The sequence below is a fragment of the Homo sapiens genome, chromosome 5 (assembly GCF_000001405.40).
Source record: "Homo sapiens chromosome 5, GRCh38.p14 Primary Assembly".
Taxonomy (NCBI): Eukaryota; Metazoa; Chordata; class Mammalia; order Primates; family Hominidae; genus Homo; species Homo sapiens.
The window spans coordinates 177,797,092-177,812,016 of record NC_000005.10 but is presented as its reverse complement, the minus strand read 5'-3'; the positions used below and the strand labels follow the sequence as shown (position 1 = coordinate 177,812,016).

Sequence of the window (14,925 nt, the reverse complement as noted above, 5' to 3'; positions counted from 1 at the left end):
TTTTCCAAACAGACAGAAGTCCTTCAGGTAACCTCAAAAGTCACTTCTCCTGGCCTTCCCCAGAGGGGAAAGGAGAGAGCGGTGCTTGTGGCAGGGGGCCCTCAGAGCTGGTGGAGGGCACAGCAGAGAGACTGCTTGCATGTGGGAGGCCCCCAGCAGACCTTGCCCAGATGTCAGCCCTCGTTTGAGGCAAACTATAAAATTATTACAATTTAGGCCAGGCGCAATGGCCCATGCCTGTAATCCCAGCACTCTGGGAGGCCATGGCAGGAGAATCTCTTGAGCCCTGGAGTTTGAGCCTGCAGTGAGCTATGACTACACCACTGCACTTCAACCTGGGCAACAGAGGAAGACCCTGTCTCTAAAATAAATAAATAGGCTAGTCGTGGTGTCTCATGCCTGTAATCCCAGCACTTTGGGAGGCCAAGGCAGGCGAATCACCTGAGGTCAGGAGTTCAAGATCAGCATGACCAATATGGTAAAACTTCATTTCTACTAAAAACACAAAAATCAGCCAGGTGTGGTGGCACGTGCCTGTAATCCCAGCTACTCAGGAGACTGAGGCAGGAGAATCACTTGAACCCGGGAGGCAGAGGTTGCAGTGAGCTGAGATCACACCACTGCACTCCAGCCTGGGCGACACAGCAAGACTCCACCTCAAAAAAATAAAAAATAAATAAATAAATAAAAGATGGAAAAGCTATGTTCTTAACATTTTTGAAATGATAATTCATACTAAAAAATGTTACCAATATTAATGCACAAAGCATTTTATAAGTTTTAGACTATTAATAAAAGATACTAAAACTGAATTTAAGTATTTGTAGCCATAATTAACACTATAAGTTTGTATACCTATAATGTAGCAACTAATTATCCAAAAATTTAATAAATGACAAAATAAAATTTTGCAAACAGATTTGTAATAACCAGAAAGAAATCTGTATTGGCAATTAATGTAACATAATAAAAATAATTTGTTATGGTCATCTGCTAAATGCTAATTAATGTAAAATGTTAAAAGATTATCTTAATTATGACATCTTAATTTTTAATGGTTTTAAATATTATAAATATAATAAGGGGTTTCTAAATTTAAAAGAGGAATGACTAAATTTTTCAGAATTAGTTCATATTTCTTGTTGTACAATATAAGAACACCATTCCACTTTTCCTGTTAGATTAGGAACCCTCCCTTATTATCTCACTGAAGGAGAATGCTGGATGGTGCTACAAAGAAGGCAATCTAAGGACTCCAGAACTGAAGTGGCACTGCATGTCACTTCCCTAACTCAACTGAAAAAGCAGACAAAAACCTAGCGTTTTCTACCCTCAAGCCAGCAAGAAACACAGTCCAGGTAAGCTCGTTTCTTCCCCAGTGGAGCGGGAGTCTATCCAACAAGAGGCAACCATTCTGCTATGATCTTAGAGTAGAACTGTTCAGAAGTTTGCTAACAATAAGCAGCCAACATAGACACATTCTTTCTCTAGTAAATCTAAAATTCCCTTTTTCCCCAGAGGCACTGGGGTGCCTGAGGGGCATGTAGCAAAAGTGACCCCAGCCACACCACGCAAACTAGCCAGGAAACCTTTTTGTCTTCACAGATCTGAGAGTCCCTGAGAACCCAGAGACAACACAGAGGCAGCAGGACATGAACAGGAGAGTCCCGGCATCAGTTCCTGGCCATAGAATCCCTCCTGAGCAGCAGGCAGGACAGAACCCCTTTCAGCAATCAGCCTGCCGGAGAAGCCTCTGCCCCTGTGGTGTGAGGATCCACTTCCCCCAGGTGACACCATGGGCAGGTGGGCTGAAGAAGTGGGAAGGCCAAATCGACTGGCCCAGGAGGATGCCTCTTTGATGATACAGGTGACACAGGTCTAAGCCTCCCTTCTTCCACAGGAGAAACTAGGTGGCCCAGAGGCTGCCCAGAGGTAGGGGATCTGCCACAGCAGCCACCCTCCTGGGAGGTTCCCTTTCTTCTCCTTGATGAACTCCCTCCAACACACACCTTCCCAGGAAAGCACCCTTTATCTTGCATGGGAAGGGGATCCCACCACACCAAAACCCAGCCAAAGAAGCCTTTTGTTCCTTAAGGGATAAGTTATCAAAACAAACACAAGCAAAAAGACACACAACTAGTCACCCCCTAAATTCTGTTAAGAATGAGACAATGCTGCCACTCACTCCTGGCTCAGGCACCAGCAGGAGGAGGACACCCTCCAGAAACTGCAGAAGAAAGGGGAGGACTCCTCCTTGCCCTGGCTGCACCTCCACCACTGTCACTGAGGCCTGCAGTACAGAACCAGCAGCTTCCTACACACCCCAGGCCAGGCCAGGCCCCAAAGCTCTCCTACTCCCCCTTCCCGGCCCCCAGACTTGCTGCTGTTACCACTATTACCGCCGATGCCAACACAACCAGTGCTTCTGTCACCTTCCATGCACCCACCCACCCTCCAGGGCTCCTTCCACCTGGCCTCCACGGGCACCCTCCTACCATTCCTGTCGAGCTGCAGTCTCCATCGCTGTCGCTGCCACAACCACAGGAAGTGAGCCACAGAGCCACGCCATCTACAGGCTCCAACCTCCAGCTCACCACAGGTGACTCCTACTTCACCAGCCTGGCTTGGAACAGCTGGAGAGGAAAAGCCAGAAAAACCTACAACGGGATGCAGAAAGTGGTAGTGTTAAAGCCTCGCCTTGTCATGCTGGCCACTGGGTGGCAGCGGCCAGTTTCAGCAAAGGCATTCACACTCACCTGCCAAAGTCCAGCCTCTCCTCCTGGCCCAAGCTGGCCTCCTGACCTGGGGTGGGGACTGGAGACACCACAGTGCCCGACACTCCCTGGGGAGCAGGAACAGCAGAAACTCACACTCAGCCAGTACTCCCCACCCAAGTACTGGTTCCCATTCCTGACTCCTCCACCCACAGGCCCTGAGCCCCCGTGGTGCCCACTACTCCTGCTCCATGCCTGGGGGTCCCAGATGGTCTCCACAACATGGAGCGAGAGGGCAAGGGCTGGGGAACCACAGTGGGTGTGGGGGCCCTGCCATGCTTAGAGGATTGGCATGAAAACTCTGTGCGCCCGCCACACTCCCACACAAGCAGGAGGAGTTCTCTCTCTAGAGCCCTGAGTCTGAGAAAAGAAGAAGGTCCCCTTCCTCAGAGGCAACCGTTGTCCCGGCCACCTCCACAACCTGCCTCTGGTGGCAGCAGTGCAGACCCCGATAGCGCCCCTAACCTGGCCCCCGCTGCCGGCAATGCAGCCCCCGGATTGCACCCACAACACACCCAGAGACTACTGTAGTAGGCAATGTAACCCCAATAGTGCCCCCAAACCACCACTCTGCCCCCAGCAGTGTAGCATTTGATGGTGTCCACAGCCCGTCCCGCTACCGGCATTGCAGCACCTGACAGCGCCCCAAACCAGCCCCCCACCAGGGCCACAGGCAGCACAGCCCTGGATAGCGCCCCCAACCTGCTCCCATCGTGGGCAGTGAATGCCCGGGATAGTGCACCCAACCAAACCCCCCACCCCACCTTCCCCTTTCCCCCTTCCCCCACAAGCACTGCAGCATTTGACAGCTCCCCTAAACCTCCCCCGACTGCCGGCCCACATTGTTGCTGGCATTGTAGCCCAGGATAGCACACCCAACCTGCCCCCTGCCTCTGGCAGTGCAGCAAATAACACCCCTAACCTGCCCCCATGAGCCGCTGGCTGTGCACAATAGCGCACACAACCTGCCTCCGACCCCTCGACCTTGGGCACTGTAGGCCCTGATAACTCAGCCAACCTGCCCCCCACCCCCACAGCAATGCAATGCCAGATAGCACCCCCACCAGCCCCTCCCTAACTCCGCGGCAGGCACTGCAGCCTCAACAGCTTACCAAATATGCCTCCCCAACCCCCTGCAGGAGGGCAGTGCAGCCGCAAAGAGTGCACCTACCCGGCAAACTTTCTACCACTCTAACAGACCTGCAGTCTCGGTCGCCACCACCAACCGCAGCCAGAGGAGCCTCGGTGGCCGAGGCTCCAGCCTCCAGCGTGGAGCAGAGGGCCCCCCTTCTTCTAGACCGCTAGCCAGTCAAGAGCAGCTCCCGCTGCCATCCTCCCTTCTACCACTCTGGCCGTGCTGCCCGCTGTCTCTGTCACCACCGCCAACTGTAGCGAGGCGAGCCACAGTGTTGCAGGCTCCAGCATCCAGCTCCCCCTTCTCTTGATCTGCTGAGCTGGGAACAGAGTAGCTCCGCCGGCCGATTTAGGAAAGCCTAGGATGGCGTGAGGCCTCCTCAGCATGCACATGGGGTTATGCACAAGGATTCTGAACTACATGTTCTGATTGGATGAGAGAAAACCTCTAGGCCTTCTCTGATTGGACTTTATTTCATACGCTGACTGGTTGTCCTAAGACTTGCTCTCATCCAATCAGAACATGCTAACAAAGTCCAATCAGAGTAGGCCTCTGCGTTTTCTCTTACCCAATCCTGGAACATGTAATCCAGGAACCTCATATGCATAACCTCAGTATATAAATGGTGCCGAAGGGGAGTCAGGCCGTTCTAGGCTCATGCGTGTCTGCGCGCGGGGCTGCTCCGTTCCCGGCTTAGAGGACCAGGACAAGGGCTAGCCACCGCTGCATGCTGGAGGCTGTGGCTGCGGCACCACAGCTCGCCTCGCTGCGGTTGGTGGCAGCGACGGAGACTGCAGTGTGGCTGGAGCGGTAGGAAGGGGAAAATAGTTTTGGGGTAGATGGAGGAGTAAAGAGGGTGGTTAGTGCCAAAGGGAAAAGAGGATGGCGAGCAGGAGAAGGTGTTGCAAAAAGACAGTGAGGAAAAGATGGTGGGGAAAAAATGTTGGGGGTAGGTGGAGGGGGAAAAACGGTGGTGAACAGGAGGGAGAGAAAGTTTTGCAGAAAGATGGTGGGGAAAAAGTTTTTGGGTAGATGGAAGGGGGAAAGAGAGGGTGGTGGGGGGAACGGGGGTGAGCAGGAGGGAGAGAAAGTTTGCAAAAATACAGTTGGGAAAAAAAGAAAGGGAAAGAAGAGGGTGGATAAAAAGATTTTGAGTAGATGGAGCGGGGAAAAGGGGTGGCAAGTGGGAGGAGAAAAGAGGGTGCAGAGAGGGAGGGGGAGGAGAGAGTGGCGAGCAGGAGGGAGAGAAGGTTTTGTGAAAAGGCAGTGAGGAGAGAAGCTTTTAAGTAGATGAAGGGGAAAAGAGGGTGGCAAGCGGGAGAAAGATAAAGAGGGTGGCGAGCAGGGAGAAAAGGTTTTGGGAAAAACCGGTGGGCAGAAAAGAAAGTGCAGAAAGAAAACACGGTGGGTAGAAAGTGGGTAAATGGAGGGGGAAAAGAGGGTGGCAAGTGAGAGGAGAATAGAAGGTGCCCAGGGGGAGTGGGGAGAGTTGGGAAAAAGATGATAGGGAAAATAGTTTGGGGTAGATGGAGGGCAAAAAGAGGGTGGCAAACAGGATAGAGGAAAGAAGAGGGTGAGCGGGAAGCAGGGAAGGCCTTTGTGAAAAGACGGTGGGGGAAAATTGGGGAGGTAGATGGGTAAACGAGGGTGGTAAGGAGGAGTAGGAAGGCGGCTTTGCAAAAAGATGGCTGGGATGTTTTTGGGTAGATGGAGAAGGGAAAGAGGATGGCAAGGAGGAAAGGAGAAAAAGACGATGGGGAAACAGTTTTTGGGTAGATGGAGGGGGAAGGAGGGTGGCAAGCAGCAGGAGTGGAGAGAAGGCTTTGGGAAGAGATGGGAGAAAATGTATTTGGGGAGATGAAGGAACAAAAGAGGGTGATGAGAGCCGGAGGGGCAAAAAAGGGTGGCCAGGGAGAGGGAGAAAAGACGGTGGGGAAAAGTTTTTGGGTAGATGGGTGGGGAAAACAGTAGTGAGCGGGTGAGTAGAGAAGGCTTTGCGAAAAGATGGTGGGGGAAAAAGTTTTGGGGTAGATGGAGGAAGAAAAAGTGTGGCGAAAGAGAGGGGGCCAAAGGTCGTCGGGAAAAAAAGATGGGGAAATAATGGTGGGGGACAAAGGTTTTGAGTAGATCTTTTTCTGATTTTTAAATCAGATTATTTGTATTTTTGCTTTTGAGTAGCTTCAGTTCTTTATATGTTTTGTGTATTAACCCTTTGCCTGATGTATAGTTTGCAAATACTTCCATTGTCTGGTTTGTTTCTTCATTCTATTGATTGCTTCCTCTGCTTTGCAGAAGCTTTTAAGTTTAATGTAATTGCATTTCTCTATTTTGGCTTTTGTTGCTTGTGCTTTTGATGTCTGTTTCAAAATCCCTTGTCCTAACCAATTCCATGAAGTATTTATCCTATGTCATCTTCTCTAGTAGTTTCATAGTTTCAGGTTCTACATGTCAATCTTTGAGTAGATTTTTGTATATGGTAAGATAAAGATCTAAATTTATTCTCCTACGTGTGGGTGTTGTGTTTTCCTAGCGTTTACTGAAGAGATTGTCCTTCTCAAAGGTGTGTTCTTGGTGCCTTTGTTAAAAATGAGTTGACTGTAAATGCGTGAATTTATTTCTGAGTTCTCTACACTGTTTCATTTGTCTTTGTCTCTGTCATTCATCTATGTCTGTCTGTCTCTGTCTCTCCTTGCCCCTTTTTTTGCCAGTTCCATGGTATTTTGGTAGTATATTTTGAAACCAGGTATTGTGATGCCTCCAGCTTTTTTCTTTTTATTCAATATTATTTTATCTGAGGTATTTTGCATTTCCATGTGAATTTTAGAATTTTTTTTCTATTTCTATGAAGAATGTGTTTTGTAATTTAACGTGGATTGCATTGATTCTGTAGCTCACATTGGGTGATACAGATATTTTACCAATATTCTTCTAGTGTTTGGACATGGGATATCTGTCCATTTACATGTGTCTGCTTTAATATTTTTCATCTATGTTTTATAATTTTGTTGTGGGATCTTTAACCTTTTTGGTTATCTCTAGGTATTTTTTTGTTGGTAGCAGTAATGAAATAGCTTTCTTGATTTCTTTCTTAGGTGTTTCACTATTGGCGCATGCGTGTGCTACTCATTTTTGTATATTGATATTGTGTCTAGTAACTTTACTATATTTATTGTTTCTAGTAGGTTTTGTTGTATAATCTCTAGGATTCTCTCCATATGTGAAAGATCATGTCACTTGCAAACAGAGACAATTTGAATTCCTTTTTTCCCATTTGGATGCTTTTTATTGCATTCTCCTGTCTAATTGCTCTAGCTCAGACTTCCAGTACTATGATGAATAAAAGTGGTAAAAGTAGCCACACTTGGGCCAGGCGCAGTGGCTCATGCCTGTAATCCCAGCAACTTTGGGAGGCCGAGGTGGGCGGATCACGAGGTCAGGAGATCAAGACCATCCTGGCTAACAGAGTGAAACCCCGTCTCTACTAAAAATACAAAAAAAAAAAAAAAAAAATAGCTGGGCGTGGTGGCAGGCGCCTGTAGTCCCAGCTACTCAGGAGGCTGAGGCAGGAGAATGGCGTGAACCTGGGAGGTAGAGCTTGCAGTGAGCTGAGATCGCGCCACTGCACTCCAGCCTGGGTGACAGAGCAAGACTCCATCTCAAAAAAAAAAGTAGCCACACTTGTTCCAGATCTTAGAGGAAGAGCTTTTAACTTTTTCCCATTGTTTATGATGTTAGCTGTGTTTTTGTCATATATGGCCTTTATTTTGCTGAGATATGTTTTTTTCTGTACTCATTTTGTTGAATTTTTATTATGAAGGAATGTTTAATTTTTTTCAGCATCTACCGAAATGATTATATGGTTTTTTTTTTGATTCACTGAATGTGGTGTAGCACATTTATTTATTTGTGTTTATTGAATCATCCTCATATTCCTGGGATGAATCCCACTTGATTATGGCAGATGATATTTTTATTGTCTTGTCAAATGCATTTTTCAAGTATTTTGCTGAGGATTTTTGCATCTGTGTTCATCAGGAGTGTTTCCCTGTGGTTTTCTTTTTGTGTTGTGTTTTGGTCTGCTTTTTGTACCAAGGTAATTCTGGCCTCATAGAACAAGTTTGGAAGCATTCCTTCCTCTTCATTCTTTGGGGGAATGTTTTGGTAAAATTGGTATTAGCTCTTTTAAAACATTTGGTTGAATTCAGCAGTAAAACCATGATTCTTGTGGGTTTCTTTGACAGGAGACTTTTTATTACTGCTTTAATTGCATTACTCATTATTGGTCTGTTCAGGTTTCTTATTTTCCTATCATTCTATCCACACCAGCCCAGGTATGCAGAGGAGGTCCCAGCAAGTGGCCACGCCAGCTGCTGCCCTTCTCCCCTGGCCATTGACACATCTGGTTCACCTCAGCATCCCTAGGTGTTATGAGGAGGGCAGAGTGTAGCCAGCCCTGGCCTGGGAATGCACCAACACGGGGTCCCTGGTGAGTCCAGAGCTGGGGCTGCAGCTAGAACTTCAGGGCAAGAGAGACCCCATGCCCTTCACTTCCTGGTCCCGGTCCTGAGGTTCCAGGAATGGGATCAGAGTGGGCACCCGTGAGAAGCTGGTGGCATGGGAGGGCTGTGCGTTCTGCTGAGGCACTGTGTCCCCACTGCTGTGCTGTCTGACAGGCCCCTGTCTCTCTTCTTGCTCCTGGGTGATAGCTGTGGTCATGGACATGTTCACCCATGTGGACATCTTCAAAGACCTGCTGGACGCCGGCTTCAAGAGGAAAGCAGCTTTGTACATCATCGTGGACGAGAGTAAAGTCAAGTACGTTCTGCATATGTGTGAGCGGACCCGCATGCACCTGGGGCACCTCAAGGTGAGCAGGCTCCTCACTTGCCTACGTGGCCAGATGGCAGGGGTCATTCAGTTTGTCAAACACCTCGAGTACCTGCCTGCTCTGGACGGAGTCCTGTGCCAGGCACTCAGAGTCCAGTAATCCTAGAGCCTCTGCTTGAATTCCCTGAGGGACAGGATACTTGCCATGTCTGATGGGACAGAGATAAGATAAACATTGATGAGGTGCTTGCTGACCAGGTGCTGGAGCTCATGCCGAGTGCTGCATCATATGTTATTTCAGAGCAGCCCATGCCACATTGGTTACCTGTCTGCTTGCATACCCCTGGTCATAGTGTGCTCACTATGTCCTCAGGTAGCTCGTGGCCTATCTGGAGAGATTCAGTTCCCAGGAAGTCTTTCTTGGGTTAAGCCAAAACCTGTCTCCTTAGAATGTCCATTTACTGGTTTTAGGATCTGGCTCAGACAGAAGCAGCTCTCCCTCAGGCTGAGGCCAGGGAAGGCTTCCTTGATGTCTGCACAGTTGAAGTGGATTTGAGGCACATGAGCAGAGTAGAACCTTTAGGGTGGGGAGAAAGCACGGAACAGAGGTGAATCAGAGATGGCTGCCAGTGGGATCAAGGTGGGCTGCAGGTCCCCAGCGCTGCTTTTCTGTGTGTCCCTGGGCCTGTCACCTCCCCTTTCTGGGCTATACAACATCTCATTGCTCCAACTCTGTTCTGCCCAGACACCCTGGCATTTGGTGTCTGGCTAATTTTTTTTTTTTTTTTTTTTTTGAGACCGAGTCTTGCTCTGTCACCTAGGTTGGAGTGCAGTGGTGCGATCTCGGCTCACTGCAACCGCTGCCTCCTGGGTTCAAGCAATTCTCCTGCCTCAGCCTCCCAAGCAGCTGGGACTACAGGCGCACACCACTATGCCCAACTACTTTTTGTATTTTCTGTAGATACGGGGTTTCACCATATTGGCCAGGCTGGTCTCGAGCTCCGGACCTCGTGATCCACTTGCCTCGGCCTCCCAAAGTGCTGGGATTACAAGCGTGAGCCACCGCACCCAGCTAGTGTCTGGCTAATTTTTTTGTATTTCTAGTAGAGACAAGAGTTTCACCATGTTGGGCAGGCTGGTTTCGAACTCCTGACCTTGTGATCCATCCACCTTGGTCTCCGAAAGTGCTGGGATTACAGGTGTAAGCCACCGTGCCCAGTTTTAAATAAATAAAAGCCAGTTTTAAAACTGAAAAAACAGCTTTGAAATTGAGGGCTGCATTTTACAGAGAATATTTTCCAGCATGTGCAATCTAACATAGTAGCACTATACTCCTCACTTAAACAGACTAGCTTTTATAATGAATGATTTTGTTTTAAAATGTGAGTAACAGCACACCAGGGGCTATGACAGCATGATCGCTTCGTTAACATCTCTGTCTAATACCGTAGTCCCACGTAAGCTGCATTTGGCTTTCACGGTTTCACTTACCTACAGGCAATCCTGGTCTGAAAACATTAAATGAAAAATCCACAGATAAACAACTGACAAGTTTTAACTTGCTGTGCTGTTCCAAGTAGTGTGGTGGGAGCTCCTGTCATCCCCCTCTACTCAAGGCCCACCCAGGACGTGAATCATCTCTGCCCACAACATCCACCTGTCTACCTTCCCACTTGTTAGTCACTTAGCAGCTCTCTGGGTCGTCAAATTCTCTGTTGAGATATCACGGTGTTTGTGTTCAAAGAAATCTTGTTTTACTTAATGGCCCCAAAGTGCAAAAGTACTGATGCTGGCAATTCAAAAATGCCAAAGAGAAGCCATAAAGTGTTCCTTTTAAGTGAAAAGGTGAAAGTTAATCATAGGGCATGCATGTGTAGAAACAAAGATAATCTATATTGGATTTAGTACTATCTGTGGTTTCAGGCATCCTCTGAAGATCTTGAAATGTATCCCCTATGGATAAAGGAGGACTACTATATTCTCAATGGATTTTGCAAGAAGAAAATTAATCATTCACAAAATATTTTAACCTTAGAATTTAAATAAATGTGTATATTCTCTACAAGTTAAACACAAATATTGTAATAACCTATGGCCACTTTTTCTTATTTTTATGCCATTTGAGTAATGACTGGTATTGATTTGCTGAGGTTCAAATTTCGAATTCTAGTTTTTCTTAAACATGACTTATATTAATAAGAATATGTTCAACTCTGGTGTGCTTTATCAGTCAAAAACACAAATTAATTATGCAGAGAATGTTATTTTCTTTTTTGAGATGGAGTCTCCCTCTGTCACCCCGGCTGGAGTGCAGTAGCGCAATCTTGGCTCACTGCAAACTCCACCTCCCGGATTCAAGTGATTCTACTGCCTCAGCCACCCAAGTAGCTGGGATTACAGGCATGCCCCACAATGCCTGGCTAACTTTTCTATTTTTATAAAATCTAAAACCTGGGACCTGGTATAAGGCCTGGGTATCCACCCGGGGCTTGATTTTAGCAGGGGCCTGAAGTTCTTCTAGCAACTGGTGTCCACCTGAGGCCTGGGTGTCAGCCTGGGACCAGATGTCCAGCTGGGGCCTGAGTGTTTCTCGGTGCCTGAGGACGTTCTGGGCCCGGATGTCCACGTGGGACCTAGATGTGTACCTGGGGTCTAATGTTCACCAGGAGCCAAGGTATCTCCCTGGGGCCTATGTCCACCCAGGACCCGATGTCCGTTTGGAGTCAAGTGTCGTCCACCTGGGGCCCAGGTGTCCTTCAGGAGCCTGGTTTTGACCTGGGGCCTCAGTGAACACTTGGGACCTGATGTCCACCCGGTTCCTAGGTATCCTCCTGAGGCCTGGTGTGCTGCTGAGGCCTGGTTTCGGCCTGGTTTCTACCTGGGGTATGGGTGTCCACCTGGTTACTGTTGCTTACCTAAGACCTGTTGTCCACCTTGGACCTCTTGATCCTCTGGGGCCTTGTGTCCACCTGTGCCCGGGTGTCAGCTTGGTACCTGATACCTACTTGGGGCCTCCACAGCCACCTGGGGCCTTGTGGTCCCTTGAAGCCTGAAGTCCTGGGTATAGGTATCCACCTGGGTCCTGGGTGTCCACTTGGGGCCACATGTCCAGCTCTGGTCTGAGTGTCCCCATGGGGCCTGATACGCACCAGGGGCCTAGGCATGTACTTGATGCCTGGTGTCCATATGGAGCGTGCTGTCCCATGAGGATTGATACTCAGATGGGGCCTGGTATCCACTTCGGGCCTATTGTACTCCTGGAGTCTGATACCCATCCTCTGCCTGCTGCCTACATAGGGCCTCATGCTCCCCTTGAGCCTGGATGTCCACCTGAGTCCTTGGTATTCTCTGTGGGATGGCTGTCCACCTGTGACTTTGTGTCCAGCTATGGCCTGGGTGGGAGCCTGGTGCTTGATGGACACCTTGAGTCCGTGTGCACCTGGGGCCTTATGTCTATCTGGGGACTAGTGTCTACTTGGAGCTGATGTCTATATAGGGACCATGTGCTTATCCAGGACCCGATGTCCATCTGGAATCAGATGTTCCCTTGGGGTCAGGGTGTCCGTCTGGGGCCTAATTCTCACCAGGGACCTGCTGTTCACCAGGAGCCTAGGCATCCACCTGTGGCCTGCTGTCCACTTGGGGCCCCCTGTTCACCTTGGCCCTGATACTTACTTGGGGCCTGGACATCCACTTGGAGCCTGGGGTTCAAGTGGCGCCTGGTGTTCCTCCAAGATGCCTGATGTCCATCTGTGGCCAGGTTTCCACCTGGGGCCTGGTATGTACCTGGGGCCTCGGGTCCACCTGGGGCCTGGTATTTACCTGAGGCCTGGGCGTTCACCTGGGGCCTGATGTCTAGCTGGGGCCTCATATCCACCTGGGGCCTCCACGCCAAACTGCGACCTGATGTCCAGCGGAGGCCTGATGTCCATGCAGGAACTGGAGTCCCTCTGGGACCTGTTGTCCACCCGGGGCCTGGTGTCCAACGTCCACCTTGAGTCCAGTGTGCACTTGGGGCCCGACGTTTTCCTGGGGCCTTTGTGTCCGCTGGGGCCTTATGCCCACCTGGAGGGGGTGTGTCCCACGCACCCGCCCTTGTCCTGGGGAGAGTGTGTAGAGAGTTGCTCTGGCCCTGCCCCTTGTCATCTGGGAATTGCCCCTCCTGCCAACGCGGTGGGGAAGGTGTCATCTTGACTCAGGTGGGTGCTGGGTTTCAAACTGGGGCCTTATATTTACCTGGGGACTGCTGTCCATGTGGGGCCTGGTGTCCACGTAGGTGCTGGGTATTCACCTGGAGCCTCACGTCCACCTGGGGTCAAAAGTGTTCACCTGGGGCCCGACGTTACCTAGCACAGGCGTTGCACAGAATACACACAGACTGGAAAGGAAGAAGGAATGGAAACGTGGGACCTACGTATTCAGTATAAGAAAAGTGAAAATAGCAACCAGGAAAGAACACAAAGAAAGTACGAGAAGGATGGTATGAAGAAGACACAAACCAACCTAGGCCCAGTTTCCTAAGAAACACTGGAAACCACACTGAAATGAAATGTCAGACGGAATCAAGCCATCTCTGGATTTTCCCCTGTGGGCCGCTCAGTGTCAGCGGGGATGGGAGCAACTGTGGGCCGCTCAGTGTCAGCGGGGATGGGAGCAACTGGGACTCTCCTACATCACTCTTAGGGCTAGAAATTGCTAAGGCCGCCCCGAAAACATCCTACTCACTTTTCAGAAAATCACAACTTGCAAAGTACAGCAAAACCAAGGAAGGCCAAGAGCTTACCTTGGAGAAAGTTCTCGCAGCCCTGGGCGCCACCGGCTGGCTGGTTCTGGGGTCGCTTTGCCAGCAGGCAGCCTTTTCTCAGCTGCCTTTCTTCGCATCAGGTGGCGGCGGCTGATGGCCCGTGTGGCCTTTGCCCTTGAGGATTAGCCCAGCAGGTTGACTTAGGCCTGGAGCAGTGGTAAGGGCAGCGTTCTCTGGCGCTGCCCTTTTCCTGTTGGCAGCAGGATGGGGCGAAGCTCCAGGGCCCCAATTCCAGCACCTGATTTGGAAGCATCCAGCGGCCTGTGGCACGACGGCGGTGGAGGCGAGCCTGAGCGACTGCAGCTGCATCTCTGTTCCCAGTGCCATCTCCAGATCTTCATGCCCTGAGCAGTGACCTGGGCCAAGAAGTCACTTTCCTGGATGGTGTCTTCAGGAGGGCATGTTCCTGAACCGTGAGGGGTGGGTGTTCAGCAACTCTCCACAAACTTTTCCCAGGAATTGGGCGAGGTGCATTGTGCCACAGCCCTTTTTGGGTAGGCATAAGGCCCCACGTGGACACCCAGGCCTCAGTCAATATTCAGGAGCAAAGTGGAGACCTAGGCTCCAGGCAAACATCAGGCCTCAAGTGGACAGTCCCAGGTGAACATTGGACATCCAACACCAGATTGACGCTATGTCTTAGGTGTATGCCAGTTCCCAGGTGGACTCCAGTTTCCAAATGGACATCAGGCACCAGGCGGACATCAGGTTCCCAGTTGACAAATAGGTTCCAGATGGACACCAGGCCCCAGGTGATGCCTAGGCCCCACGTTGACACCTGGGCCCCAGGTAGACATGAGGCCCCACGTGGATAGTTATGTTCCTGGTGAACATTAGGCCCCAAATGGACACTCTGGTTCCAGGTGGATATATGGCCTCAGGGGGCCATCGGGTCCCAGGTGCACACTGGACTTGACGTATACATCAGGCACGAGGTTTACACCCAGGCCCCAGGTGCACTGAATGTCACAGATGGACTTCAGGCCCAAGGAGGATACCAAGGCTTCAGGCGGACACCCAGGCCTCACGTGGATATCAGGTCTTAGGTGAAACTCAGGCTCTAGTTGGATACCGAGTCTTCAAGTGGACATAACAATGCCCCAGGTGGAACCCAGGCTTTAGATGGATACCAGGCTCCAGGTGGACATTAGGCCCCAGGGTGACACCAAGGCTCCACGTGGACAGTAAGCCCCAGGTGAGCCCCAGACCTCAGGTGGACATCAGGCCCTAATGGATGCCCACACTGCAGGTTGACATCAGGCCTCAGGAGGGCACCAGCCCTCAAGTGACCACCAGGTCCCAGGTGGCTGTGTAGGTCCCAGGTGGATATCAGACATCAGGATGACTCTCAGGGCCCAGGTGAATGCCAGGCCACAGATGAACAG

General features: G+C 50.1%; 2 pseudogenes across 1 annotated transcript; one reads left to right on the top strand and one right to left on the bottom strand.

The window, feature by feature from the left end:
- Positions 1-2,509: 2,509 nt before the first annotated feature.
- On the top strand, positions 2,510-10,938 carry LOC105377752 (FAM83G pseudogene; annotated as a pseudogene). The gene is made up of 4 exons (NR_157842.1): positions 2,510-2,599; positions 8,236-8,395; positions 8,616-8,776; positions 10,660-10,938. The product of NR_157842.1 is annotated as an FAM83G pseudogene (transcript).
- On the bottom strand, positions 14,413-14,925 carry LOC100419951 (uncharacterized; annotated as a pseudogene).